Consider the following 27,669-nt stretch of genomic DNA (forward strand, 5'->3'; position numbering starts at 1 on the left):
AGTACTTTCCTCTTAGGATTAAATGAGATGATTCATGTAGAAGGCCTTGCAGAGTCCTGACCTCAAGTGGAACTCAATAAACGGTACTCAATATCTCTTCTCATTAATACTACCAGAAATGTTCAGGTCTCTAGAGACAGGAATTTAGCTTTGATTTCCAAATCAAGATGACCAATAGAAAAACTGGGGCTTTGGGGTTGAGACACAGGTATATTCTTTGATTTCATTTCTTCCTCTCCTGTTCTCAACCAGCAGGCTATACTCCATGCAACTAAAGAAGGAAATTCCAGCCTGATTCCATGCTGGCTGCTCAGCTGTCCATAGGATGAAAATTTTTTATAAAAATCCAAGTATCCAAAGTTGGTCTGGTGAACATGAAAACTAACATCTATCAAATTAAATTTAGCATTTAAGAATGAGTGTTTCCTCCTCTGCTTTAAGAGTGGCCCAAGTTTATCCTGCTTCCAAAAGAAAAATATGGAAAGGAAAGAACAGTAACTTTGCAGGGGAGAAACCTGACCAACATTACCTTAACCAAGCAAGGAAGATCACTAATGGCATGTAGTTATCATGTACTCCAGGATATGATGTGAAGTATACTTTACCTCTATAATATTCTTTCCAAAAACCCATAACTCCAGTTTAATGATGAGGAAGATACCAGATGAGCCCAATATAAGGAATAGACTATAAAATATCTGAACAGTGAAGTATGTCAAGGTTATGAAAAATAAAGAAAGACTAAGAAACTATCAGGAGAACAGAGAAGACTAAGGAAACATGACAAGTAAATGTAATGTGATATCCTGGATTGAATCCTGGACCGGAAAAATGACATTAGTGAAACTGGTGAAATCTAAATGAAGTCTAGAGTTTAGTTAACAGCAATATACCAATGTTGGTTCCTTAGTTTTGACAAATGTACCATAGTAAAATGATAACATAAGAGGGAATTGAAACTGAGTGAGGGGTATATGAGAACTCGATGTATCATCTGTGAAACTTTTCTGTAAATCTGACACTGTTCCAAAATAAAACATTTATTTCAACAAAATGGGCAAGATATTCAGACTATGTTAAACAAGAAAAACAAGTTTAAGCATCATATGCATAATATGTTCTCAAGTTGTTTGAAAAATAGCTTTTTAAAAAAATTATAAAGTAATATGTATGTATATAATATGTGAAGAAAATGCAGGTATATTAGCTAGGATAAATAAGGCTATGGAAGTGAAAGGGATTCCAAAATACTATGGCTTAACAAACAGAAAAGTTTATTTCTCTTTAATTTCAATCTTAACATAAATGGTCCAGCTTGGTGGAGCAGATCCCCGTTCCTTGTAGTCATTCACAGATTCAGGTACTTTCCAAGTCATGGCTCTGCTCTTCACTAAGGCACTGTCATCATCTGAATGGTCTGAGTACTTCCAATTAAAACAGCATAAAAGGAAAAGAGCAACTACTAGGAAAGGCACAATGTCTTGAGATCCAGTCCAAAAAGTATCACATACCAATTCCTTTCACAACCCATTGCAGAAAACACAAACACATATTCTCAAGGTTAACTGGGAAGTGTAGTAAAAAATAAAATAAAATAAAATGTAGTAAAGATGAGCAGCCATGTGCCAAGAAGAAGGAGAGCATGGATTATGGTTGACAACTAGTAATCACCACTAAAATAGGTAGGCAAAAGAAGAAATCATCTAGAAATCTATAAATAACCACTGTCAACATTCGAATACTTATTTTTTGAGACTTTTTTCCTATGAGCATTTTTTTTTATATTCAACCTATATATTAGTCACCAAGGAAGAAAGAATATTTTTCACATTTTCCTTAGGTAATCTCTACAGTACTTAATAAAGAATTACACAAACAAACTGATCTTTTAAAGTATTTTTCAGGCCGGGCACGGTGGCTCACACCTGTAATCCCAGCACATTGGGAGGCTGAAGTGAGTGGATCATCTGAGGTCAGGAGTTCAAGACCAGCCTGGCCAACATGGCAAAACCTCGTTTCTACTAAAAATACAAAAATTAGCCAGGTGTGGTAGCACGTGCCTGTAGTCCTAGCTACTTGGGAGGCTGAGACAGGAGAATCACTACCTCCAGGAGGTAGAGGTTGCAGTGAACCAAGATCATGCCATTGCACTCCAGCCTAGATGACAAAGCAAGACTCCAACTCAAATAAATAAATAAATAAAGTATTTTTCACATATAAACAGCAATCAGAAAACATTACATAAGAGAATAACACATTTACAATACCAACAAAAAAGAGACAAGACATCTAGAAATAAACTTTACAAGAAATGTACAAAACCAACATGAGAGACCTTTAACACATTTCTAAATGCTCTAATAGTAGACTTCAACAAGTAAAAGAACATATCATGTTTTTGAATGGGAAGATTCAAAACATGTAAGTAAGTTAACATATAAATTTATTGTCTTCACAATAATAATTCCAACAAGATTTCTGCTTGTAGGATGAAGAAAGCCGATTCTTAAGTTTGTATGGAAAAAATAAACAAGTAAGACCAAACACTCTGAATATGAAAGGAAATAAGCTTGACAAGATAAGGTTGAACTCCATAATCCAAAAATCTGAAACCCAAAATGCTCCAATATCCAAAACTTTATGAGCTCCAACATGACACCACAGGTGGAAAATTTCAAACCTGACTTCTGTGACAGCTCACAGTCAAAATGCAAGTGCACAGCACACAGTTTATTCAGCATCCCCAAGAGAAAAAAAGACCCTCTTAGTCCTCTTGAGCTGGCATATCTTTTCCGATCATACCCAGATTCCCCCAGGCAAGCACATCCACAAAGGGTAGTAAAATGGCACGTGTTGTACAGGCTGGACACACAGGTTCCCTGCTGATGTTCCTACCTAAGGCCAAGACCTATGTGCATTACTCGCTATTTTTTTTTGCTTATTCTGTGCTCTGCGGTGTAAAAAATTATCGAAAATGTTGGAAAAAAGGCCTGCAGATGCCCCTATAGGTAACAGTGATAAGAAAAAAAGGAAATGTTTATGTTTATCTATAGCACAGAAAGACCTGGAGAAACTGGACAGCGGGGTAAGTGTGAAACGTCCTGCAGGAGAGCATGATGTTGAAATGTCCACCATATAAGACATGAAGAAACAAGGGCAAACTGTTGACACTCCATACCAAAAGTGATGAACAGAAGTTAATGAAAAACAGAAAAATACCAAATAAAGCTAAAAATGAAGATCTCCATCATGTATTGAAAAAGTGGATCCATCAGTATCACAGTGAACACATGCCATTTAATAATATGATCAAAAAACAAACAAAGATTCACATGAAGAACTAAAAATTAAAGGGAATTGTGAATATTCAACAGTTTGGTTGCAGAAATTTAAGACACTCTATTCAATTTTTAAAATTTTGTGGTAATAAAGCATCTGCTGATCACAAATCAATGAAAAATACACTGACACATTTGCCAAGGTCATCACTGATGAAAATGTGATGCCAGAACAAGTCTATATTGCTCGAGAAAAATCACTACTGTTTTGGTGTTATTGCCCCAGAAAGATACTGACTACAGGTAATAAGACAGTTCCTAAGGAATTAAGGATGCCAACAACAGAATACCTGTGCTAGGATGTGCTAATACAGCAGGCACATTTGCTGTGAGAGCCAAAAGCTTGCATCCTTGCTATTTTCAAGGAGTGAACTTCTTACCAGTCCATTATGCTAACAAAAAGGCATGGATCACCACAGACACCATTTCTAATTGGTTTCACAAACATTTTGTACCAGCAGCTCATGCTCACTGTAGGGAAGCTGGATTGGATGACACTGCAAGATTTTGTTATTCCTTGGAAATTGTTTTGCTCATCCTCCAGCTGAAATTCTCATCAAAAGTAATATTTATGCCATGTACTTTCCTCCGATGTGACTTCTTTAACTAAGTCATGTGATCAGGGTATCCTTAGATCAACGAAGAGTAAATAGAAAAACACTTTCTTGAATAGCATGCTAGTAGCAGTGAACAGAGGCAGGGGTATGGAAGGTTTTCAAAAGGAGTTTAGCATGAAGGAAGCCACATATGTTGTTGCCAATGTTTGGAACACAGTAACTAAAGACACAACCTCTGTCCTGTGACTATGCTGAGTGATGATGAATAAGGTGGTGACTGTGAAGGATTCTGTATGTCCAGTGAGAAAAAATGATGCCTGACCTCCTTATATATGCAAAATATATACCTTCAGAGTCTGTCAGCAAGCTGGAATGAGGCTCCAGTTGTTCATTCATTGACCAGTGGTTAAACGGCCAAAATGGTTCTGAATCAAGGTGATCATGATAAAACCAATGATGGAGAGGACATTAATTCTGCAGAAGTACATATGGACCACATGGTGAAAATGTGTGATGGGCTTATAGAAGGACTAGAACAACATGCGTTCATAACAGAACAAGGAATCATGTCAGTTTACAAAATCAGAGAGGTTGTTAAGACACAAAAATGTTGTTAATGAGGCAGATGATCTGGAGCAAACATTTTAAAAAGCCATCGAGCAGAATGTCTCCTCACGCCTACAAAACCCACTTTCTGGTCCTTCAATTGCCTCTAATGTTTCTTTCCTCCTAAAAATAATAATAATAATAATAATAATAAATACCGTATACAGTAAACTTTTTGTCAAAATACAGCATCATAGATGGAGACTGAAAGCCTGCTGCTGTTGGATGTTGTTGTCTAACAGCTGACACGGGTATTCTGGTGATGCTACTGTGCTGCTGAGTTACCCTGAACACATTATCTTTTCACATATTAATGACATGTTATATTTACTGTTAAGTACTTAGATGTAAATAAGTGTAAGAAAATGGCTGCTTATCAGCAGCATTTAAATTCAGAGTCAGGAAGGATGGTGATGCAAAACAACTACAGATTGTCCCCATGGGTGGCTGAGATACTGACACCTTTGCTTTCTGATGGTTTGACATATACAAACTTTTGTTTCATGCACAAAATTATTAAAAAATATTGTATAAAATTACTTTCAGCTATGTGTATAAGGTGTATATGAAACATAAATAAATTTCATGTTTAGACTTGGGTCCCATACCCAAGATATCTCATTATGTATATGCAAATGTTCCAAAATCTGAGAAAATCCAAAATCCAAAACACTTCTGGCCCCAAGCACTTCAGATAAGAGATATTCACCTTATATTACTATATCTTAATTATATAAAAGGTATGGCATTAAGAAAAATACATTGGCATATTGATGAAACAGAATAGGAAGATCTGAAATGGCCTAAATACTCATAGGAATCTAGCATATGATAAAAGCAGCTCAAATCCATAAATATAGACTTTTTAATACACATTATTGAATAACCAAAGAGCTGTTTTCAAAAAACATAAAAAGGTAGGATCTAGGTCTCAGTGCATATAAACTGTAAGTGGATTAGAGATTTACAAAGAAAAAAATGAAATAATAAAAGTACTGAAAGAAAATATAAGTGAATTATTTTGTAACCATGGGTTGAGGAAAACCTTTCTGATAACTCAGTTCAACTAAAAAAAACTTTGAATAGCACAAGACATCACAAAGAAAGTTAAAGCACAAATGACAAACATGGAAAAAAATCTGCAACTCATACAACATAGGGCTGATATCTATAAAGAAGTCTTAGGTGTTAAGAAATTTAAAAATGAAAGAAAGAACAATACAATAAGGGACAAGCAACTTGAACAGGCAATCCATTAAAAAAATAGCTCTTAAATATGAAGAGATGTTCGGTCTCACTCACTCATAATGAGAAAAGCAAAGTAAAACTATACCAACATATCAATTCTCTCCTAGCAAAGTGCAAAAATATGCAGGTTTAACACATTCTGCTGGCAAGGTCATAGAGAAATAGGCATTCGCATACACTGTTGGTAGCAGTACAAAATGGTATAACTCCTAAATGGGAAACTTGAATATCTACCATAATTACTGATGCATTTTCTCTTTGACCCAACAATCCCATTTTTGTAAATCTATCTCCCATTCAGTATACAAGTAGGAAATGACATATATACTGAATTATGAATTTGGCCTTGTGGCATTATAATATAATCAGAGCAAAAAAAAAAAAAACAAAACACACACACACACAACTGGAAAACACTCAAGTACCCACCAATACTGAATGATCTGAATAAACAACATTACAGCCATAAAATGAAATAAAATACATCTGAGAAGAAAAATGAAAACAATAACTGTGCGCTGCTGTGGAGGCCCTCCAGGAGACTGTAAATGCCAAAAGTAAGGTACTTCAGTGTACCTGGTAGGCTATTTTTCATTTAAGAAAGAGGAAAAAAATATTGAATTGCATTTGTTTATATTTGTATAAAGAAATTACAGAAAAATAAATAAGGAACTAGTAAAAATAAATGCTGTGGGCGTGAGGAGGGACATGGTAGATACAGACAAGGAGTAAACCTTCTCGGCATATACCTTTATGTCTGTTTTACTTTTGTGCCACATACGTAATTACCTGCTCAAAACAATTACTTTTGGATTTAAATTTGTTTAGTATTTCTCAGTAATTAATATTTGACATATATCTCATTTAATTATGACTATAAACCGAATATGAAAATCATCTCCATTTCACATATGAGGAAACTGAGACTCACGAAGCTTAAATATTACTCCTTGCACAAAACTAGTAAGTTACAAAGCTGGGACTAAAATACACAGACCTATTTCCAAATATTGGGTTATTTGAAATATATGAAATATATTCTATATTTATATATTTTATAGAATTTCATAGAATGAAATTCTATGTTGGATACATGAAATTCTATCTTCAAAGGCAGTAAGTACTGCTTCAAATGATTTACCTGAAAGTTACAAGCACAATATTAAGAACAGATTTTGATCAACCACACATTAGTAATTATCAAAGAGTAATGTGGAAGCATTCCTATTTTAGTACATTCAGCAGTATTCCAAAGGACAAAAATATACCTTAGCTCTAGGAATAATGGGTGTGTACCTAATAAAAGGTTATGTTTCACAAATCAATTCTGAAAACTTCTTACATTAGAAAGTAACTCTGGGTCGAATGGCTTGAACCCGGGAGGCAGAGCTTGCAGTGAGCCGAGATTGCGCCACTGTACTCCAGCCTGGGCAACAGAGCAAGACTTCGTCTCAAAAAAAAAAAAAAAAAAAAAAAAAGGAAAGTAACTCTGGGTCAAAGGATATAAAATAAAATTTCACTTAGACAAGAAGAATCCATTCAAGAGCTCTATTGTACATAACAGTGAGTATAGTTAATACTATATTTGTATCCTTGAAAATTGCTAAGAGTAGATTTCAAGTGTTCCCCCAACCAAAAAAATGACAAGTATGTGAGGTAATGTATAAACACCTTGATTTAGCCAATCCACAACGTATACATATACGAAAACATCATGTTGTACAACATAAATATACAATTTATACTTAAAAATATATGTATATACAGAAAAATAATTCCTGATCCAATGTCATTTAGGAAACTGACAAGACAGAACAGCTTCAGCGTATGTTTACAATAACACTTTCTCCTTTATTTCAGAAAAGTCTTCCTAAAGTCTAAAACACAATGTCCCCTTTTATCTTTACCCACATTCACCCAAGTCAATTTTTTCCCCTAAAATGAAAATTCTTTTCTTTTTTTTTTTCTTTTGTGAAGACAGGGTCCTGGCTCTGGCTCTGTCGCTCAGGCTGGAGTGCAGAGGTGAAATCACAGCTCACTGCAGCCTTGAACTACTGGGCTGAAGTGATCTTCCCGCCTCAGCCCACTGAGTAGCTGGGACTAGAGGCACCCGTCACCATACTCAGCTAATTTATTATTTTTTAAAATTTGTGTAGATATGGGGTCTCACTGTGTTGCCCAGGCTGGTCTCAAACTCCTGACCTCAAGCAATCCTCTCAGCTTGGCCTCCAACAGTGTTGGGATTATAGGCATGAGCCACCACATCCAACCAAAAATTGTTTCTTGAAAAAAAAATTACCAGTAAACTGGTGGATCACACCGTGCATTATCTAAATTCTTCCTCATGCACATGTTTATGGCTGTCTAAATTCTAGATGCACTCTAAGTCCAGGAATTCTCTCGATCACAGCACATATGTACAAACAAATGAAACTAGCCGGCAGCAGTTTGCCAATCCCTGATTTAGAATATTCACATTTAATATTATTGATATGACTGGACTAAAATCTACCATCTTGCTAGCAATTTTCTACTTACTCCAGCTATTCTTTCTTTCTTCCTCTTTCTCTGACTTGTGCTAAGGATTTTTTTATAATTCCATTTTGTCTCTTCTATAGATTTATTATTATGACTCTATTTCAAAACTTTCAGTAGTTGTCCAAAGGTTTACAATATACATTTTTCATTAATCTGAGTCCACCTTTAAGTGATATTATAAGTATCCCTTATCCAAAATGCCTGAGACCAGAAGTGTTTCAGATTTTGGATTTATTTTGGATTTTGGAATATGTGCATTATACTTATCAGTTAAGCATCCATAATCTAAAAATCCAAAATCTAAAATGCTCCTACAAGCATTTCCTTTGAGCGTCATGTCAGCCCTCAAAAAGTTTCAGATTTTGAAGCATTTTAATTTTGAATTTTTAGATTAGAGATACTCAGCCTACACACCACTTCATATTTGGTACGTGCTCATTCATTCATTCATATTTCACACGACAACTGCAAAGTTGAGTAGTTTCAAAAACCATATGACCCTCAAAGCCTATAATATTTATTATCTAATCTTTATATAAAAAGTTTGCTGATTCTTATTTCAGAAGAATTAGCAATAAAATATCAATTTTTTCCTTCATTTATTCCATCTGCCTGAAGAACTTGCTTTAACATTTCTTGTAGAGTAGGTCTACTGGCAATGAATTCCTAGTCTTTGTTTGCCTATGAAAGACTATTTCTGTTTCATTTCTGAAAAACATTCTCATTAGGCACAGATTTCTGGGCTGAGTTTTTTTCTTTCAGCACTTCCAAAGTGTCATTCCACTGTCTCCTAGCTTCCATAGTTTCGAAAAGTCAGCCATCACACAAACTTCCTATCATTGTTCTCTATACATAATGTTACCTTTTTCTCCGGGTGCCTTAGAGATTTTCTTTTTACCTTTCATTTTAAGCAGCTTGAATACTACATGTCCACGTGTGTAAGCGTATGTGTGTGGTATTTATCCTGCTTGTTATTCTCTGAGCTTTTTGGACCTATGGTTTTGTGTCTCATTAATTTTGGAAAATTCTTGGTCATTATTTCTTAAAATATTTCTTTCTTTCTTTTTTTTTTTTTTTGAGATGGGGGTCTCGCTCTGTTGCCCAGGCTGGAGTGCAGTGGCACAATCTCAGCTCACTGCAACTTCCGCCCTCTGGATTCAAGCGATTCTCGTGCCTCAGCTTCCCGAGTAGCTGGGATTATAGGCATGCACCACCATGCCCAGCTAATTTCTGTATTTTTAGCAGAGATGAGGTTTCACCATGTTGACCAGGCTGGTCTTAAACTCCTGACCTCAGGTGATCCACCCACCTCGGCCTCCCAAAGGGCTGGGATTACAGGCGTGAGCCACTGCACCCAGCTGTCTAAGGCTAGTTTCAATGATTGCTTTATCCCTGAGTGCTTTTTTTTCTTGCTTTTTAAATACATCTCATGGTTTTTTGTTGTTGTTGTTATTGGAAGCTGATCCTCTTGTGTGCAACAGTAGAAACTAAATAGTTTTTATGCCTAAAATGGGGCAAGACTTTTCTTCTCCTAGGCCTTTACTGAAGGGTTAGAGTTTATCTAGTTAGGCACTGGGCTGGGTTTGAAGTTAGCACTATTGTTACCCTGAGTATACTACAGGCTTTAAACTCCTGTAGAAATATCTTGTTTTTATGATGGGCCTTAATTTATCAGAGTAATGTCTATTCTATTGTGAGTTCAGCTCTTTCTTTTACACCAGGAATCGCTGTCTATTCTTTTTTCCTCTCCTGTCTCTAACCCAGCAGCTGTTAATTATTATTAGAAACCTGTTAGTTTGATGGTGAGAAATGGTTGGGGGCCCAGATCAATCCTCTGTTGTTCTGAGCAAGGCTCAGCCTTAGTCACATGTCAGCCTGGGTCTTGAAGATATAGCTGTATCAGTTATCTAACCTCCTGCCCTAAACTACAGTTGTGGGCCCCGCATATTCCTGACAAAGTAGACACACACACGTGCACGCACTTTCCTCTCCCCAACTGCAATGAATTTCAGAATTTCATCAAGGCCCTAAGGCTTGCTGTGCTTACTACCTCCTTTCCACTCCACTGTTCCCAGATGATGGCTTTTGTTGTATAGTGGAGAGAAGGAAGAAGCCACGTGTCACCGCTGTTCTCGTCCCCAGGGTGTGTGCCACATCGCATACTTTTGGGGACTCTTTCCCATTTCCCATCTCCTGGGATTCCTACCCCATCCACTAGTGAAGAAAGAATATACAAGAGGGTACCAGGTTCCCCAATTTCTGCAGCCTTCACGGACATCACAAATTCTTGCTGGCCTGGACTCAACCTTCACTAATCTGTCCCAATTCTAGCTGAACTCTTCTCACTGGTGTCCCGTTGTGTCTATCCAAGTTGAGTGTGGGTTCATGTCTCCTCCATCCCCATAGGCACTGTATATCCTTACATTTTAAAGTTAGTCAGGCTCTTTTTCATTGCGAGGGTGGGAGTGATACTCCTTCCGGCTCTCTACACCCCAGGGCAAAAACTAGAGGGCCTCACAACTTTTTAAAACCCCTTTTTAAAATAAAAATATTTCCCGATGACTGGTCTATATTTCAAAGATTTAAAAATCCCAATACGTAAATTAACATGTGCCCAATTCTTACTCAAACCCCCATATTCTCCTTTAATTACACTCATTATTTTCTTGTAAAAAAGTTTAATTGAACAGCTAAGTATAAATTTTTGAAGGAAAGAAGAGCCAATTTCTTCTTTCGATTGCACCCTTTAGTGAAAATTAACTATGATCACAAGAATTTGTCTCCTGTGGCTTGTTGATTATAAAGAATAAAACATACATACATTTACCACAACTCTATGTCATCATCCTCTGGTATTCTACAATGTGCTCTTGGTTAGGAGTTTTTATCTTGTATACAACATACAAACGTGCATATTCATATTTTCTCTCTCTCTCTCTGCAACTTTGAAACTATGGTAATATTCCAGATCGGAAGGGACCCACGATATGGTCTGCAGTTTCAGTTAAACATCCTATCTGAATCCTGCTGTGCTTCAGCCTTCATCTGAATTTATGTCCTGTTGTAATAACATTATTTCTAAGAATATTTCCTCAGGTAAGACATTAAGACTTATGGGTCTGTAATGTAAAATCCTACCATAAATAACCATTTTAAGGCATATAAAAGTTAAATTTTATACACTTATTGCTATCCTTTATTACTATGCTCAAAAAAAAAATCACTGCTGTAATTTTTTTATTCCAATATCACAGGCACAAATTTTCCAGTTGCATGCATGAAAAAATTTTTTTTAAATATGCTGTCTTCATATAGTAACTAATCCAAAATAGAAAACTATCCTTGTACCAACTGAAGTCTCAGGGACAGATGCACTGATTAGAGACTTCAACAACATAACTCATGCTGTCTGAAAGGCCTTCTCAGGCAGATGTTCCATCTTATGACTCATTTAATCATTTACTTATATACTAATGTCCACTACATTATACTGCTCACATCAAAGCAACCAAGCAGTGAAAAAGAAATGCCAAATCTTGTTCCTGCAAATATAAAGTTCTCATTTAGATTGTTTCTAAAAAGAACAAAAAGGTCTTATTTTAAGTAGTTTTCCTGCTTTTAATCACTGAATTCATGTAGAGTTTCTGTATGCCAACTATTATTGAGGTTTAGCAAGCCAATTATATTGCAGAGGCATACCACTGGCTACTTTAGAAAACATCCTTATACTATACCTTTTACCTGTTATTAAAATTAAAACTAAATATACCTTTTACCTATTATTAAATAACAGTGACATTCTTAAAGCTTTTTACAAAGTACAAGATAATAAACTTACTTTAAATGAGTAATTTTATTCCATTAGTCCCGAAACATGTTCAGTGAAATAATTATCTAAAAATACTTGTCAACCCAAATAATGTCAATATACTAGTACTGTTAACTTACTCAAATAAATTATAACCAGGATTATTTAACAAAACATTAAAGGAAAAAAACTCAATTACTTAGAATGCATTGGTATGGTTCTCTAAGCATCTAGATTGCTGTGTAGAGTTAATGCTCATGCGAATATAAAAGAAGTTATCTAACAGTCTAAATATTTATTCCAATATCAATCTTAAGTTTTAATCAGTTATATTTTGTTCCTTTTTAACAGAAGAAAATGAATTAAAATGAGTGCAAAATGCTTTTAACTGGGAATTTAAAAATTAGAAAAATACTATTAAAGTGATCATGAATGTATCATATTAAGAGCATTAAATTTCATTTGAAAATCAAATTGTATAATTGAAGGATTTTCACACACATGGGATTTTCCACACTTTATCTCTTAATGTAATATTTATTCAAAGTACATTTTAAAATTGAGAAATACCTTTAATATTACAACACCTTCTTATTTGCTACCAAAATAAGGGAGAGATTTTTATGAAACTGTCATTTTAAATAATAGTCAATAGCTGCACACATTAAGTAAACAAATTCAGTTCAAGGGAAGAACTTCATCACCATTTGGTGGTTGTAATTTAGATTATTCTAGCGTGTAATACTTTAATTGTATAAAACAAAGCTGATGTCACAAATACAAAAGAATTTCTTGCAAAGCAAGTACCACAAGTAATTTCTATGCTGCCACTGATGGCTGACAAGTGATGAGCACTTTGTTCAAATGTATATGCTATGCACATAAGACAACAGGTGGTTTATAAAAAGAAAATACTGAAGAGAAGCTTTTAACATGTTCACAATCAACGTTTTTATAATATGCCCTGTCAGAATATCTGCTATAATCTTTGAATAACTAAAAGAACTCTTAAATAGGGAAATATAATATTCTCAACCTAAAAAAGAAGCTGAATCAGACAAACTAGAATTAATGCTGGGCTAAAAATGTTTATATAAGACAATGTATTGATATATTACCAATGTAGTAATATGTTGCCAGTGTATTCTATAGGTTAATAATTTATGTTACAATATTTTCAAATATTTTTTAACATTTGTTCTATTAACCCATTTACACCAGAGGTGGCAAGTTGTTTTTTTGTGTGAAAAATCAGACCATGGAGAAGACCTTGTGCAGTAAGATATAAATAACTCCCACAAGCTTAGTGTTCCAATAATGGAACACTTAGGCATAAATAGGTTAATTGATATCTGGCTACTGTTACTCAGTGCTGGAGAAAACCTTCCCATAGAAGCTAAACAAAACAACAAACACCCAAGCTCTAAAGGCCTAATTAACTGCAGTGTTGGGGGCAGTTTCTCACTGATGGCAAAAATTGAAACAGATGGCAGTGTCCAGAATGATTAGCATTCCCCCCTACTACCACCACCTAAGGATTTAACCTTTTAATAAAGCGCTAGAAGGTATGTTGTTTTGATGTTGTTGGTTTGTTGTTTTTTTTTTTTATGAGAATAATTCCAAGTCAGAATGAAATTAAACTTCAAAAGTCTGAAACATAGGTACTCGCTCTCCCACCCCCAACTCCAATGAAGCCCAGGGGGGAAAATTTTTGATTAGGAATGAATTACACTGTGAAGGATTCTTCCCACTTCCCTACCTCTAAATGTTCCTGTACACAAAGGATCCTTATTTCTCTTAAGTGATTTTAGCTGTTCTAGTTCAAAGGGTGACAATTGCTGTAGTTTAAAGGGTGAAGAGGGATGGAATTAAGCTACTAAGAAATGAAGAAAAAATAAATAGGCAAATGTGATCTACAACTTCTCTTACAGTCACATTAATATAAGCAAGGAATACCTCAAACCCACATTAAAACTGTTTAATGCTGGAGTGTAGGTTTAACATCCAATTTATTGACACAGTATAGCCAAATATTAATTTGTAAGCAAGGGGTTCAAAACATACAATAGCTATTCAGTCTTTTCAAATGATCACGTAGCTGAAAGCTCTGCACATTTGCAATAAAGGTTTGTTTTGTTTTGTTTTGAGATGGAGTCTTGCTCTGTCGCCAGACTGGAGTGCAGTGGCATGATCTCGGCTCACTGCAATCTCTGCCTCTCAGGTTCAAGCGATTCTCCTGCCTCAGCACCCCCTAGTAGCTGGGATTACAGGCATGCCACCACGTCCAGCTAATTTTTATATTTTTAGTAGAGACGGGGCTTCACCATGTTGGCCAGGATGATCTCGATCTCCTGACCTTGTGATCCGCCTGCCTTGGCCTCCCAAAGTGCTGGGATTACAGGCATGAGCCACCGTGCCCAGCCTGCAATAAAATTTTATATGCAATGCTTGCAAAGCAAAAATGGTAAAACTGAGTTCTAAATTAATGTCATTTACATGCACTTGTAGGAACTGAAGAAATCCAAGTTAAAAACAAGAAAGTGGGCAGATTAATAAAGACTAATATAGGCTTCTGGATATTTTCAAATAACTTAAAGCAGGGGTTCTTAAAGTATGGTCCATAAACCCCTGGGAGTCTTCAAGGTCAAAATATTATTTTAGGCCAGGCACAGTAGCTCATGCCTGTAATCCTAGCACTTTGGGAGGCCAAGGCAGGCAAATCATTTGAGGTCAAGAGTTCCGAGACCAGCCTGGCCAAGATGGCAAAACCCTGTCTCTACTAAAAATACATAAATTAGCCGGGTATGGCAGTGGGCACCTGTAATCCCAGCTACTCAGGAAGCTGAGGCACAAGAATTGCTTGAACCTGGGAGGCAGACGTTGCAGTGAGCCAAGATCACACCACTACACTCCAGCCTGGGTGATGGAGTGAGCCTCTGTCTCAAAATTTCTCTCTGTCTATATATATATAGTTTTACATATATGTAATTTCATAATAATATTAACATGTTATTTGCCTTTTTCACTGTATTGACATCAGCAGTCATGGTACAAAAGTAATTGTGGGAAAAACTGCTAGTATCTTAGCATGAATCAAGGTCATATTGTACTTGGTCAATGTATTCATCACAATTAAAAATAAACAACCCAGTTTCACCTAAGGCAGTCCTTGATGAATCAGTAAGGGCTATTAATTTTATTGTATCTCAACCCTTGGGTATACATCTCTAACGTGCTGGGTGAGGAAACAGAAGTATGCATAAAATGTTTCTGCTACATACCAAAATAATGGTTGTTAAAGGAAAGCATTTGGGTTGCAAGCTGAACTGGCCACTTTTTTGTAGAACCCCATTTCTATGTGAAAAAATAACTGACATTCAAACTATGGTTATTTAATCTTTTGTATCTGGCAGCCATTTTCTTGTAAATTATAAAATTCAGGCTCTCAGCCACCGGGGGAAAGCTCAGGATGGGGCAGACACAGACCACACCACCCAAAAACATTCCCATGTTCCCAATTCCCTGAATTACACACTAGCAGGGGGCAGCTGCTCAAACACAGCCAATGCTCCATTCCTTGTCAAGTGTTAATAAGACCTGGCAAGATAGTGGGGGGTTGGGAGGTGGCAGGATTCAGACTTTCAAGTAAAAATTATAATTTTTGAAAATGTGCATTTGCCACTGTAACCCTGACAACTTCCCAATATTTAAAGATTTTTCTGATGAGATCTGTGGTGATATCAACAGATTTGATTTTTTTGATACTGTATCACATAAGGTCTCAAGATTTGGAATATCTGTATCACTCACCAAGAATCAGCATTTTCCAAACAACCAAATGGGTAAAAGAGTCACTCAAAGTACAAGATAGACTAAGGGACTTTAATATGAGTACAGAATGTTCATTGTTATAGTTGCAGATTCCACATTCCGATTAACTTTTAAGATACTATTATTTGTCAAGTTTTGATGTAGTATCAAAGAAGAATATTCACAATTATCTGAAAGGTTATTAAAATACTCTTCCCTTTTCTAACCACATATCTGAGGCCAGGTTTTCTTTATATACCTCAGCCAAAACAACATACAGTGTTAGATTAAATGTACAAGCAGATATAAGAATCCAGCTGTCCTCTCTTATGCTGGACATTAAAGAAATTTATTTAAAAAAAAAAGCAATCCCTCTTGGTCTCATTAAATATTTTTGTTTTAGAAAATGTAATCATTTCTCAAAAAATATATTATGTACACATATAATGGGTTTACTGTGGTTTTAAAATGAATTATTAAGTCATTTTAAAAATCTTAGTTTTAATTTTTAATACGGTAAATACTGATTGACATTTACCTACAAAAGCACAAGGTTTTGAGAGCCCTTAATAATTTTAAAAGTTTTAGAGTCTCGAGATAAAAAATTTTGAGAACCATTACTTTGGAGGCTATTAATACCAATTCCTTCCAAGATATATTTCTGTCTTTCCATAGGAAGACAGGTGGATGAAGAGTTACATTCTTTTCTATAAAAATACGTTTTTCTAGGAGCTACAAAGGATAGTTGAGTGAGAAAGATTATAGCAGTTAGAAAAAGAAACCAAGGCTCCTTGGACACTTGGCTATTTCCAGAACTGGGGAGGATATAAAAAGATAGGCCTGGAACACCCTTGAGATCATACCAGACAGCAAGAAAGCTATCAAAGACCACTAATGTGGCATCAAAAGTGCTCAGGAACCAACTTGAAGAGATTCCCCTGGAACAACTGGAATATCAATATGGATAACTGCAATGGACGGACACATAACAAATGTTTAAACCCAGGAGGTTTAAAGAAATCAGAAGGTATCATTATCTACCTTTGGAGGAGCCTAATGAACCAACTCATTATTTTAACAACTTTATCCAAAGAAAACATCAATATAATTCTTTTTTTTTTAATCCCATCCACATCTCCAAGGAGTAAGGGGAGGAGGCTTAAGACAGTAAAGCATTTCAATGGAATCCTCATTTGGTAAAAATAAGATCTTGTAACCCTTAAATACAATTGTTTAAATTCTGCAGAAAATACTGATTCATTGATACTAATCAATAGTAAGCATCTACTTTCTAAAGTAAACTATATTTCCCTTACCATACATAAATTGCCTTCAAAGAAACCTACACCAAACACCTACCTTTAAGAACCAAACAAAATTACAACTTGTCTGACTAAAGATGATCTCTCTTGCCCTCTCCACTCTATTCCTAGAAATGCTTGTCGGCATCAAAGTATCATCACGAGTATTTTAGGTTCAAAAAGAGAATGCGAAGATTTTCTTAAGTAAATGGGTTGTAAGGTAGAGGAGACTAAAGGCTTAAAGCATGTAACCATGAGTGTTATAGTCAATTAACTAAAAATGCACACAACATACAATATGAGAGAAGTTAAAATGATGGGTTTCAGGTCACAGATCCTAGATTAAACTCTCAGTTCTTCCATTTACTAACTTAAGCAAGTCACTTCATCTCTCTTTTTAAGAGACAGTGTCTGGGTCTTCCTTTAATGCCCAGGCTGGAGTGCAGTGGCACAATCATGGCTCACTGCAGCCTCAAATTCCTGAGCTTGAGTGATCCTCCCACCTCAGTAGATCCTCAGCCACCTGAGTAACTGAGACTACAGGCACACGCCACCATGCCCGGCTGATTTTTTTTATTGTTTAGTAGAGAAGGGGGGTCTCACTATGTTGTCCTGGCTGGACTTGAACTTCTAGACTCAAGCGATCTTCCTGCCACAGCCCCCTCAAAGTACTAGAATTGTTTCTTTAGTATGCAAAATGGGAATAGTACTGCGTACTTCATGCAAATCTTGAGAGAGTTAATAGATGTAATAATAAAGCCTTTATTATACTGCTTATAACACATTAATCCTCAATAAATAAAGCCTCTCATAAAAGTACATTGTTACCATTCGTATCATGTAATGGGAAAGAAAGAAGATAATGGGAAAACGCTGGGTAAAACAGCTCCTTTTACCAACTATCAAGGGATATCATTATCAGTCCAATAAAGGTAAGCTACCATTTTGCCTTTAGCCAGTATGGGTAGTTATAAAAATGACATGGAAATATAATAGAATTGACCCTGAACAACATGGCTTTGAACTGAGAGGGTTCACTTGCCTGTGGATTTTTTTCAATAAACATATTTTTAAATTTTTGAAGATTTGCAAGTTTGAAAAAAACTCACAGATAAACCGGGTAACCTAGAAATACTGAAAAATGTTTACAGTTAGGTATGTCATGAATGCATAAAAATATGCAAACACTAGTCTATCATCTACTAACATAAAATATATATAAATTATAAAAACTTAAGAATTTATCAAAATGTACACATGCGCACTTAGATTGTTATATGACACCATTCACAGTTGAAAGAAATGTAAACAAACATAAAGATGCAGTATGAAATCATAACTGCATAAAATTAACTGTACTCCATACTGTACTACCATAATAATTTCACCGCCACCTCCTGTTGCTATTGGGATGAGCTTGAGTGTTGCGAGTATCCGCTTAAGACACTGTGAGACATTAATCATCTTCCTGTGAGCAGTTTATCTCTCCAGAAAATTGTGTATTACAGTAAAAAGTGATCTCTTGCAGTTCTTGTGTTTTTTTCATTGTGTTTAATGCTATATTGTAAACCTTGAATAACACCATGGGAGCCATACCAAGTGCCACTAGTGATGCTGGCAGTGCTCCCAAGAAGCAGAGAAATGTCATGACTTGACAACGAAATGTTGAATTGGACCACAGATTAGAAGGTCCACTTAATAGGGACCGTAGATTGAGATCTACAGCTGTGGTTGCTACCATTTCAGAAGACTCATCTTGTAAACAGATAATATGAACTTATGGTATCAGAAGTACAGTACTGTAAATTATTTTCCTTATGATTTTCTTAATAATAGTCTTTCCTCTAGCTTACTTCAAAAATACGGTATATAACACATATACAAAATATGTGTCAATCAACTGTTTATGTCATTGGTAAGGCTTCTGCTCAACAGTAGAGATTTTGGGGAGTCAGAATCTCCCCAGAACTCAGTTACACACAGTTCAACTGAGTGGGAGGTCAGCATCCTTAACCCCTGTGTTGTTCAAGGGTCAACTGTACATAAATGTGCACACATTTTCACAGAAACCATCTGTAACTATACTATCTGAAATGACATCAACTTTGTCTCCTTTTCTAGATTTAATAAAATATTATCGAACATGTCATTTACTGAAAAAAAAATAGTGACGTTTAAAACATAATGATCCTTCTACGTAAATATTCAGTATAAACCTTCTATTTGCAAGTAAAATAGGCCAGTCTCCTAAGGCTTCTCAAATCAAATGAAGCAAACTAAAATTCTCTCACCATAAATTACAATGTTAGCAAAGAAAGGGTGATGAGAAGAACAGAAAGGGATTTTAACAAAGAGGGATTAAAATTCAAATTTAAATTATAGCCTGATCTTTATTTACATCAAATTCAATTCGTAAAGATTAACTGCAACACCCTGCCAATTACAGCAAACCAGGTACAAACCATCACCCTAACAAATTCAAGTGCACTCACTCCTAACTACTGTCTAGCTAACATCTTTTTTTTTTTTTTTTTAAGAGATGGGGTCTTGCTTTATTACCCAGGCTGATCTCGAACTCCTGGCTTCAAGTGATCCTCTTGCCTCAGCCTCCCAAAATGCTGGGATTACAGGCAGAAGCCACTGTGCCTGGTCTCTATCAGCTTTAGAAACAGTTCTATTCTCGGGACTTCTCCAGCTGTTTCCACATGATGGTTCCCCAGCTCCTCCATTTTACTCTAGATAGGGTAAATAGATGCTTTGTTATTTTATTTTACTGAAATACATACACTTTAAGTTATTCCCTATGTATACTGTACAATTTTATATTTACAGTTGGTTAAACGGAGTAGGATTTTTTTTTTTTTTTGACAGAGTCTCACTCCGTCGCCCAGGCTGGAGTGCAACAGCACGATCTCGGCTCACTGCAACCTCTGCCGCCCGGGTTCAAGTGATTCTCCTGCCTCAGCCTCCCGAGTAACTGGGATTACAGGTGTGCACCACTGCGCCCAGCTAATTTTTGTATTTTTAGTAGAGACGAGGTCTCACCATCTTGGCCAAGCTGGTCTTGAACTCCTGACCTCGTGATCCACCTGCCTTGGCCTCCCAAAGTGCTGGGATTACAGGTGTGAGCCACTGTGCCCAGCCAGTAATTATTTTTAAAAAGCAAATTTAGTCCAGGCGCAGTGGCTCACGCCTGTAATCCCAGCACTTTGGGAGGCCGAGGCGGGCGGATCACAAGATCAGGAGATCGAGACCATCCTGGCTAACATGGTGAAACCCCGTCTCCACTAAAATTACAAAAAATTAGCCGGGTGTGGTGGCGGGCGCCTGTAGTCCCAGCTACTCGGGAGGCTGACGCAGGAGAATGGCATGAACCCAGGAGGCAAAGCTTGCAGTGAGCCGAGATGGCACCACTGCTCTCCAGCCTGGGCGACAGAGCGAGACTCTGTCTCAAAAAAAGAAAAGCAAATTTAAAAAATCCTTTTGGAAATCAACATGGTATTGTATAACAAGAGCCACTAGAAGAGAAATATAATCTTTGATTCATTAATTTATCTCCAATAAATACTTTGTAAGGAAAAATTCAATAAAGATAAAAATATAAATGGATAAAGTCACTCACTAAAGAGCTACCTATAATAGCAAAATAACTGAAAACATCCAGCTGTCTAAAAATTAGAGAATGATAAATCGTACACCATTGAGACAATGAAATATTATTCCTTCACTAAAGCTATTATTAATAATAAAGCTATTCCAAAACAAGAAAAATGTTTTAAGATATAATATTCATAAAAAAAAACTTTAAGAAATAGATATACAGTAGAGGAAAGATAGAAGTTTTGCTAAAAATCTTGATTCCGCCACTTAGCAGCTATGTGATTTTTTGACAAATTTTTAAATTCTCCGAGAATCAGTTTCCCCATCTCTAAAATGCGGTAATAATATGAAATTCATAGGTTCCTAGGAGAATCAAATTATATCACCATAAAGTTTCTGGCCCCCTAACATCAATAAATTCCCTTCCCTGTTACTCAGTTGACTCCCTTCCCATTACAGCACCATAAGTATATAAACAGCAGGTCATATCTAAAACGGTGTTAAAGTGTTAAGATTGTGGTTCTACATTTAAATTATCGCATATAGTAAACTTCCTTATTGGTATATCTTCCTCAGTTCTTTAAAAGTCATCAACCCCTGGTATAGCTGTTACCCTGAATATAACACTGCTTCAATTTTTTAAAAATCATATTCAAAATAATTTCAATTTAGAGTTCTTTCCCAAATGAAATTGTTACCTACAATATACAAATCAGAATTCAGCCTATATATACAAAAATGGGGAAAAAAACAAGTTAGGAAAATGGGCGGAGAAGATTTCAAGACACCTGCCCTGCACCTTCACACCTAATACTTTTAAATATACTTGAACATTGAGTTAATTGGAAGATAAAGAACACTATTCCCAGAAATCTATAAAGTAATCCCTAGTTTTTGATTCTACTCATCTGGCAACCTGAAATGCAAGAGAAGACCTTCATAGCTGAACTGAACAGAAGGTGGATACAGTTGTCCTTTTCACCTCAGGAACTAGGGAAGAGGAACAAGACCATCTCCCCTGACCTAACCCCTTACCTGTGAGAAATACAAACAAAATATCTAAATCTCTGCTGGTTCAATGGGGTCTTCCTTAGGTACTATGGCAAGAGCTGAGTCAGTCAAATCCAGGACAGTCAGGTAATGTTCCTTCCTGCCACAGAGTGAGCAAGGACAGCAAAGACAGAGTTGGAGTGGGAGGAGAAGATGGACCGGTCAAGGGGACACCATGGCCCTGAATAAACAAATTCCAGGCACATGGACAGTCTGGGGATTCTGAGGGGAAGCCCTGACATCGCCAATGTAGAGACAGAAAACTTGTGATTATTTTGACCAGTCCTGCAACACAGCCTACAGCCCATAGAGCCTTAGAGCCCTATAGCCCTGCCTTTCCTTCAACTGCCAGGGCTAGCAAATGGCACTACCAAGCCATAAGCTCAAAATTATAAGTCACTGACGTAGGAAAACTGTATCTGGCATGCAATGAGTGGTGTAAAGGCATCAATGTAAAATTTGAAAAAGGACAGTTATAAGGAAATGAAGATTCACTTTAATAAAACACAAATGCTCAACTGATTTCATTCATCCAAGTTACATATAACAACAAGTGCCTTCATTTTCAAAACCAAATCAGTCTCAATACTTACATTTTTAACTTATAATGACAGCATTCTGACAAGAAAAATGAGGTTCAAACTTGATGCTAAGTTGGGCACAGTGGTGCAAGCCTGCAGTCCCAGCTACTCAGGAGGCTGAGGCAGGAAGATTGTTAGTGCCCAGAAATTTGAAGACAGCCTAGGCAACATGGTGAGACCTCATCTCTTAAAAAAACAAACAAACAAACAAAAAAAAACTGATCATTAAAGATCAAGAGACTCTCCAGTACCTTAGAAGTTGCCCTCACATCCCTGAGGAATTTCAAGATACCAGAGTTTCTGTATCAGAACCCAGTCAGCTATTTTGGGCAGAGAGGACAGGAAAGAAGACCTTCAAAAACATGTCAGAAAAGATATTCCAGAAAAAAATACAAATGCCTCAATCACCAATCACTTAGATATAAGACCACCATGAATGAATATAAGGATATATTCATGAAATTAAATTGTAAATAGCCAGTAGATTAAATAGCTTGATACAATATTACAATGCAAAGTAGAAGGAACTGCTTCCTACTGCTGCAATATTTTCCACAATAAACAGAAGTTGGTTATTAGAATGCATTGTATATGTAGATGAGAACCACTGCATAATTACTTAACCCATTGAATTTGTACTGAAGAAACAAAGAAAACATATGGTTTTTGGTCAGATTGTTTACTGCAATCCAATACTAGAGTAATTTAATAAATACTGCTGAAAAAGAAAATTACAGGACCCAAGGAAAAAACTCCATTATTTTAGGATACAATCAAAGACAGCTTTATATTGGCAATTTGTGTCTAGGCAAAAATGTGTGACTCATTTAAAACTTTTAAATGATGTGCTTATGGCGGAGGAAGGTGGGCTCTTGAAAACAGTAATTTATGTTCATGGTTACTAAAGGTGATTTACAAGACATATAAACAACACCTAACTTAACCTAAGTTGGGGGGGAGCAATTAAATGAAGGCATTTTTACCTTCTCATTTAGCAGTTCAATAAAGCTGTAATGCCTTAAGGGCTACAATTCCATATAAACTAAAAAGGCAACTTAGAAACTATTTTTTCATCAGTGCCACCTTCACCTCTTTTTAACCAAACACCCACAACAAAACTAAAGTAGCTCTCTGGAATCTTATTTTTAAAGCCCTGAGCAATTTAAACATATGAAATTCAAACAGATACAGAGGAACAGTGATATAAAACAGAATGAAGTCACATCTGTCATTAATAACAAAGGAAAAAGGATAAGGGCTTTTATTTTTCCTAGCCAAAAATTCTAACCATTTGCACAAAAATCACCTACATCGATTGATGTTAGTTCTATTTCCTTAAGAACTTGTCTGACCAGCCTATGAGTGGTGAAGGCCAAGGGAGAAGTGAAATCAGTCAATGGTGAATATCACATTTGGGGAGATGGGGGCAAGAGATGGAATTATTTTTCTAATAACTATAAAACTGTATAGATCTTTCAAAATAAAGAGTGACATCAAAACCAGTACAGCTAGCAGTTATTCAAAAAAATTGATATGCTCTACTTACTAAAATAGACTCTTTTAAGGAAAATACAGATTGAAAAGTAAAATCAAACAGAAATTAAATTATTGGCTAAAAAAACTTAAGTCTAACATTGCAAATATCACTATGAGAGAAAATAAGTAAAGTTGACTCTTGAACAACACAGGTTTGAACTGCACAGATTCACTTAAACACAGACCTTTTCAACCAAATGTGGACAGAAAATACAGTATTGGCCCAATGCAAAATATAGGCACTCGTGGAACTGATCTCCCTACATATAGCGAGGGATGACTGTAATGCATTTCTATGTTACAAAATTTGCACACTTTATTTAGATTTGCAAAGGACATTAAGGCTCATAAATACAGTTCACCTATAACCTTTATCATCCACGACTTTATAAATACAGCAAAAAAATTGATGTTACTGCTGGGAGAAGGATGCGTAGAAAACAATAAAATGATCTGCTATAATCACTTGGCTAATCAGCCTCTGAGCTCTAGCCATTCAAATTAATGGGTCAGCAAAATTACAAGTAAATATCATGTCCTGTATCTTCAGAATCGCTTAAAAATAGTCCAAACCATTATTATTAAATTAGAAAAGGTCAAGGGTCTACTATAATGCCTATATTTCTACTTTCCCTCAACTTCTTTGCCCCAAAAAGGGGTAGTATGAATTTTCCTCCCTCTGAAAAATGCACCTCTGAAAATGCGCCTCTCTAATCAGCTATACAACATACCACGTAGCAATCATCTTTGCTATTCATGACTCTCTTCCTCTCACCTCAGAAGAATATAGGGCTTGGTCTGTCCAAGATGTTTCAAAATCAAATTCGGCGTTAAAGCTTTTTTATGGTCACCAATATCAATTTACCATGTGATGGGAGCAAAGCAGTACCAGGAGTCAAATTGAAAATTTTAAAAGCTGAAAGTAGATTATACATTTCCCTCTTATTCAAAGCTCTCCCACCAAACCTGATGTTCACCAGTGGTACTATCAGCATAAGGTGTGCTCTGTTTACTCTACATATCTGTACTCCCTCCTCCATGCATATCCATCACCAACTTCCACACACACAACTTCTTATCTATTCCCTTAGCCAGGTTCTCTTCTCAGAACTTTGGCAGAAAGGACAATAGCTTTAATGTATCAGAGCATCAAATAAATGGACAATATACAAAAACTGCGTAAAGTTAGTAAAAACACTACCATCAACTCTATACTCATGTCTACGTCTTTCAAGTCTGTCCCTTCCTTTCTATTTTGAGGCCTCTAACATGGACTGTTAAAACAATGCATTCTCTGGGCATGGTGGCGCATGACTGTAGTTTCAGCTATTGCTTGCGAGACTGAGACAGTAGGACTGCTTGAGCTTAGAAATTTGAGACCACCCTGGGCAACAAACATCATGAGATCCAGCTTCTAAATAAATAAATAAACAAAACAATGTTTTCACTAATCACCCATCTTATAGTCTTCTTCAAATCTAATACATTTCCTGAAACACTTACGAAGCTATACACTTGCCAGCATAAAAATCATCAATACATTCTACTACTCATAAAAATAATTCTGTATTTTCATCCTGATATCTATATAACCTGACCCAAACTATCTCTAGAGCTTCTATCCCTCTCTGATATATGACTAATTTTATATACCATTCATCTGGCCACTTATCACATGCTGTTTTTCATATCCCAAGTATACATAATTTCCAATTTTTTTTCTAAGCAAATGAAAGGGCCCAAGAATCCTGGGCCGGGCTAGGTTTCCTGAGCACACAGAGTGGGCACATTGGGCTAGCTGCCAAATCAAGGGTCAGCAAGAAACATCAACTCCAAAGGAGCAGGGAGAGATTAAAAACTCGGGCTGAAGCAGAGGTGAACAATTTAAGATAAGGAGATTCAAGAAGTAGGGGCAAAAGAGACTCTATTGGTAGCTGCATACAGTAGAAACTTGGGCTCTAAAGAAAAAATAATCATAATGTTGGTTCACTGTCCCCTCCCAGGTGGCCTAATAAGACTGTAAAGGTGAAGATCTTAGAATTTTCCTAAATGAAGAAATAAATTGATGTAATTATAAAATGATATATTTTTAGAATAGTAATTTCACTTGGGATCTATCCTTCAGAACTATTCACATAAGTTTGCAAAAGAATAACGTGAATGTTCTGTGTAACAATGTTCACTTCAGAATTGTTTATAACAATATTATAAGGAACTATTAACCAATGATATATCCATATAATGAAATCTGTATAGCTGCTAAAAAATAAAGTATCAATATTGACAAGGAAAGATGAAAAAATTATATCAAAGATCAAATTAAATCATCAAGGAAGTATATACAGAATTATTCTACTTGTGGGAAAAAATTAACAACAATTTACATTAAGATATATTCAAGAATAAAAACAAACTTGGAGGCATATGCTCCAAAACTGACAGTAGATGTCATAGGATTTCACTTTCTACATTATATCTATCATATTTTAATTACTGAAAACGAATACTGTACAACATACATGTGCTACACATATAATCAGGAGAAGAAAAGCATATGTCCTTTCTGATTTTAAAAACAAGGAAAAGCAGTTACTTCTGGAGACTGGGAACAGGGGCAAACATGATATTTTATTTTGAACCTTAATTATTTCCTATTTTGTTTAAAATACGCATACATCATTTAGAATTTTTATATATTACATATACATTTTGTAACATGTATTACAAAGTTACAATTAATTTTTTTAAGTAATAGCATTTGTTTGGTCATTTATAATCAAAAGGAGTGCAAAACTGATAAAACCAAAACTGTCTACTCATAAGGTATAAGGGAAAGGGGTGTAAACACATAATTAAATCATAACTTTATATGTACTATAGAATGACCCTCATTTTTTCTAAAACACAAGTTTTTGTACCTAAATTGCATACAGTTAAATCTACTATAAGGGAATGCTTTTTGCTAGCAAGTAGATGACTACTGATTATATCAAACAACAGTGGCTGGCATAACTAGCATAGGTTTTCCTTTGCTTTGACAAATCAAGAAAAGAATTTTGTTTAAGTGATTCTGCACTGCATATATTAAAACAACTGGTATAAAGACAATAAGATTGCTGAAATCTACTTAAAAGGCTGTGCTTCTTCCTCTATCATCATTCTTACCTTTGAAAAAGAAAAGGCCATATGAAATGAAATACTGAATTCTCAATGATGTTCCCTCCAGCTTTGCATCCTTCTAAGTCCAGCTTAAGTTAAGTGGCCACTTCCTGGCTCTACCTGGCAGAGGATAGATAAGGCCCCTTCACACTCCTGAGGTGGAAGGAGGAAGCTAGATAATATTCCCTCACCAAGAATACACAGAATAGGGAAAAGTCAGTTGCGTGCAAAGAAATTCATTTGTTATTAGGACAAAGAGGTAAGGGCAGCCGTCCCTTCCCTTAGCCTCCCTTCCTCCTCCCCACAACACACACACACACACACACACACACTCTCTCTCTCTCTCTCTTTCTCTCACTACACTAAAGTTTCTTAGAATATCACTTTATGGTAGAACAGAGTGTACAAACATAACACTATGAGAACAATCGAGGAAGTAAGTTCTCTAACAACAGAACCCACTAAGTTCATTATCTGAGGGTAAACCCCTTACCTAAATCATCCTGGTAGAACCACCATGATTAGCCCAGCTTAAAA

The 27,669-nt window shown here is 36.0% G+C and overlaps 1 protein-coding gene and 1 long non-coding RNA gene across 4 annotated transcripts in view; both read right to left on the reverse strand.

The window, feature by feature from the left end:
* The window catches only part of OLA1 (Obg like ATPase 1), a 176,086-nt gene that overhangs the window by 111,296 nt on the left and 37,121 nt on the right, over positions 1 to 27,669 (reverse strand). The window lies entirely within an intron of this gene.
* Positions 1,258 to 27,669, reverse strand: part of LOC124907906 (uncharacterized) — a 31,096-nt gene continuing 4,684 nt past the window's right edge. The window contains exon 2 of the long non-coding RNA XR_007087307.1: positions 1,258 to 27,662. This is a non-coding gene — a long non-coding RNA (uncharacterized LOC124907906). The remainder of the gene's footprint in view (positions 27,663 to 27,669) is intronic.

Source organism: Homo sapiens, chromosome 2, assembly GCF_000001405.40.
Source record: "Homo sapiens chromosome 2, GRCh38.p14 Primary Assembly".
Classification (NCBI taxonomy): domain Eukaryota; kingdom Metazoa; phylum Chordata; class Mammalia; order Primates; family Hominidae; genus Homo; species Homo sapiens.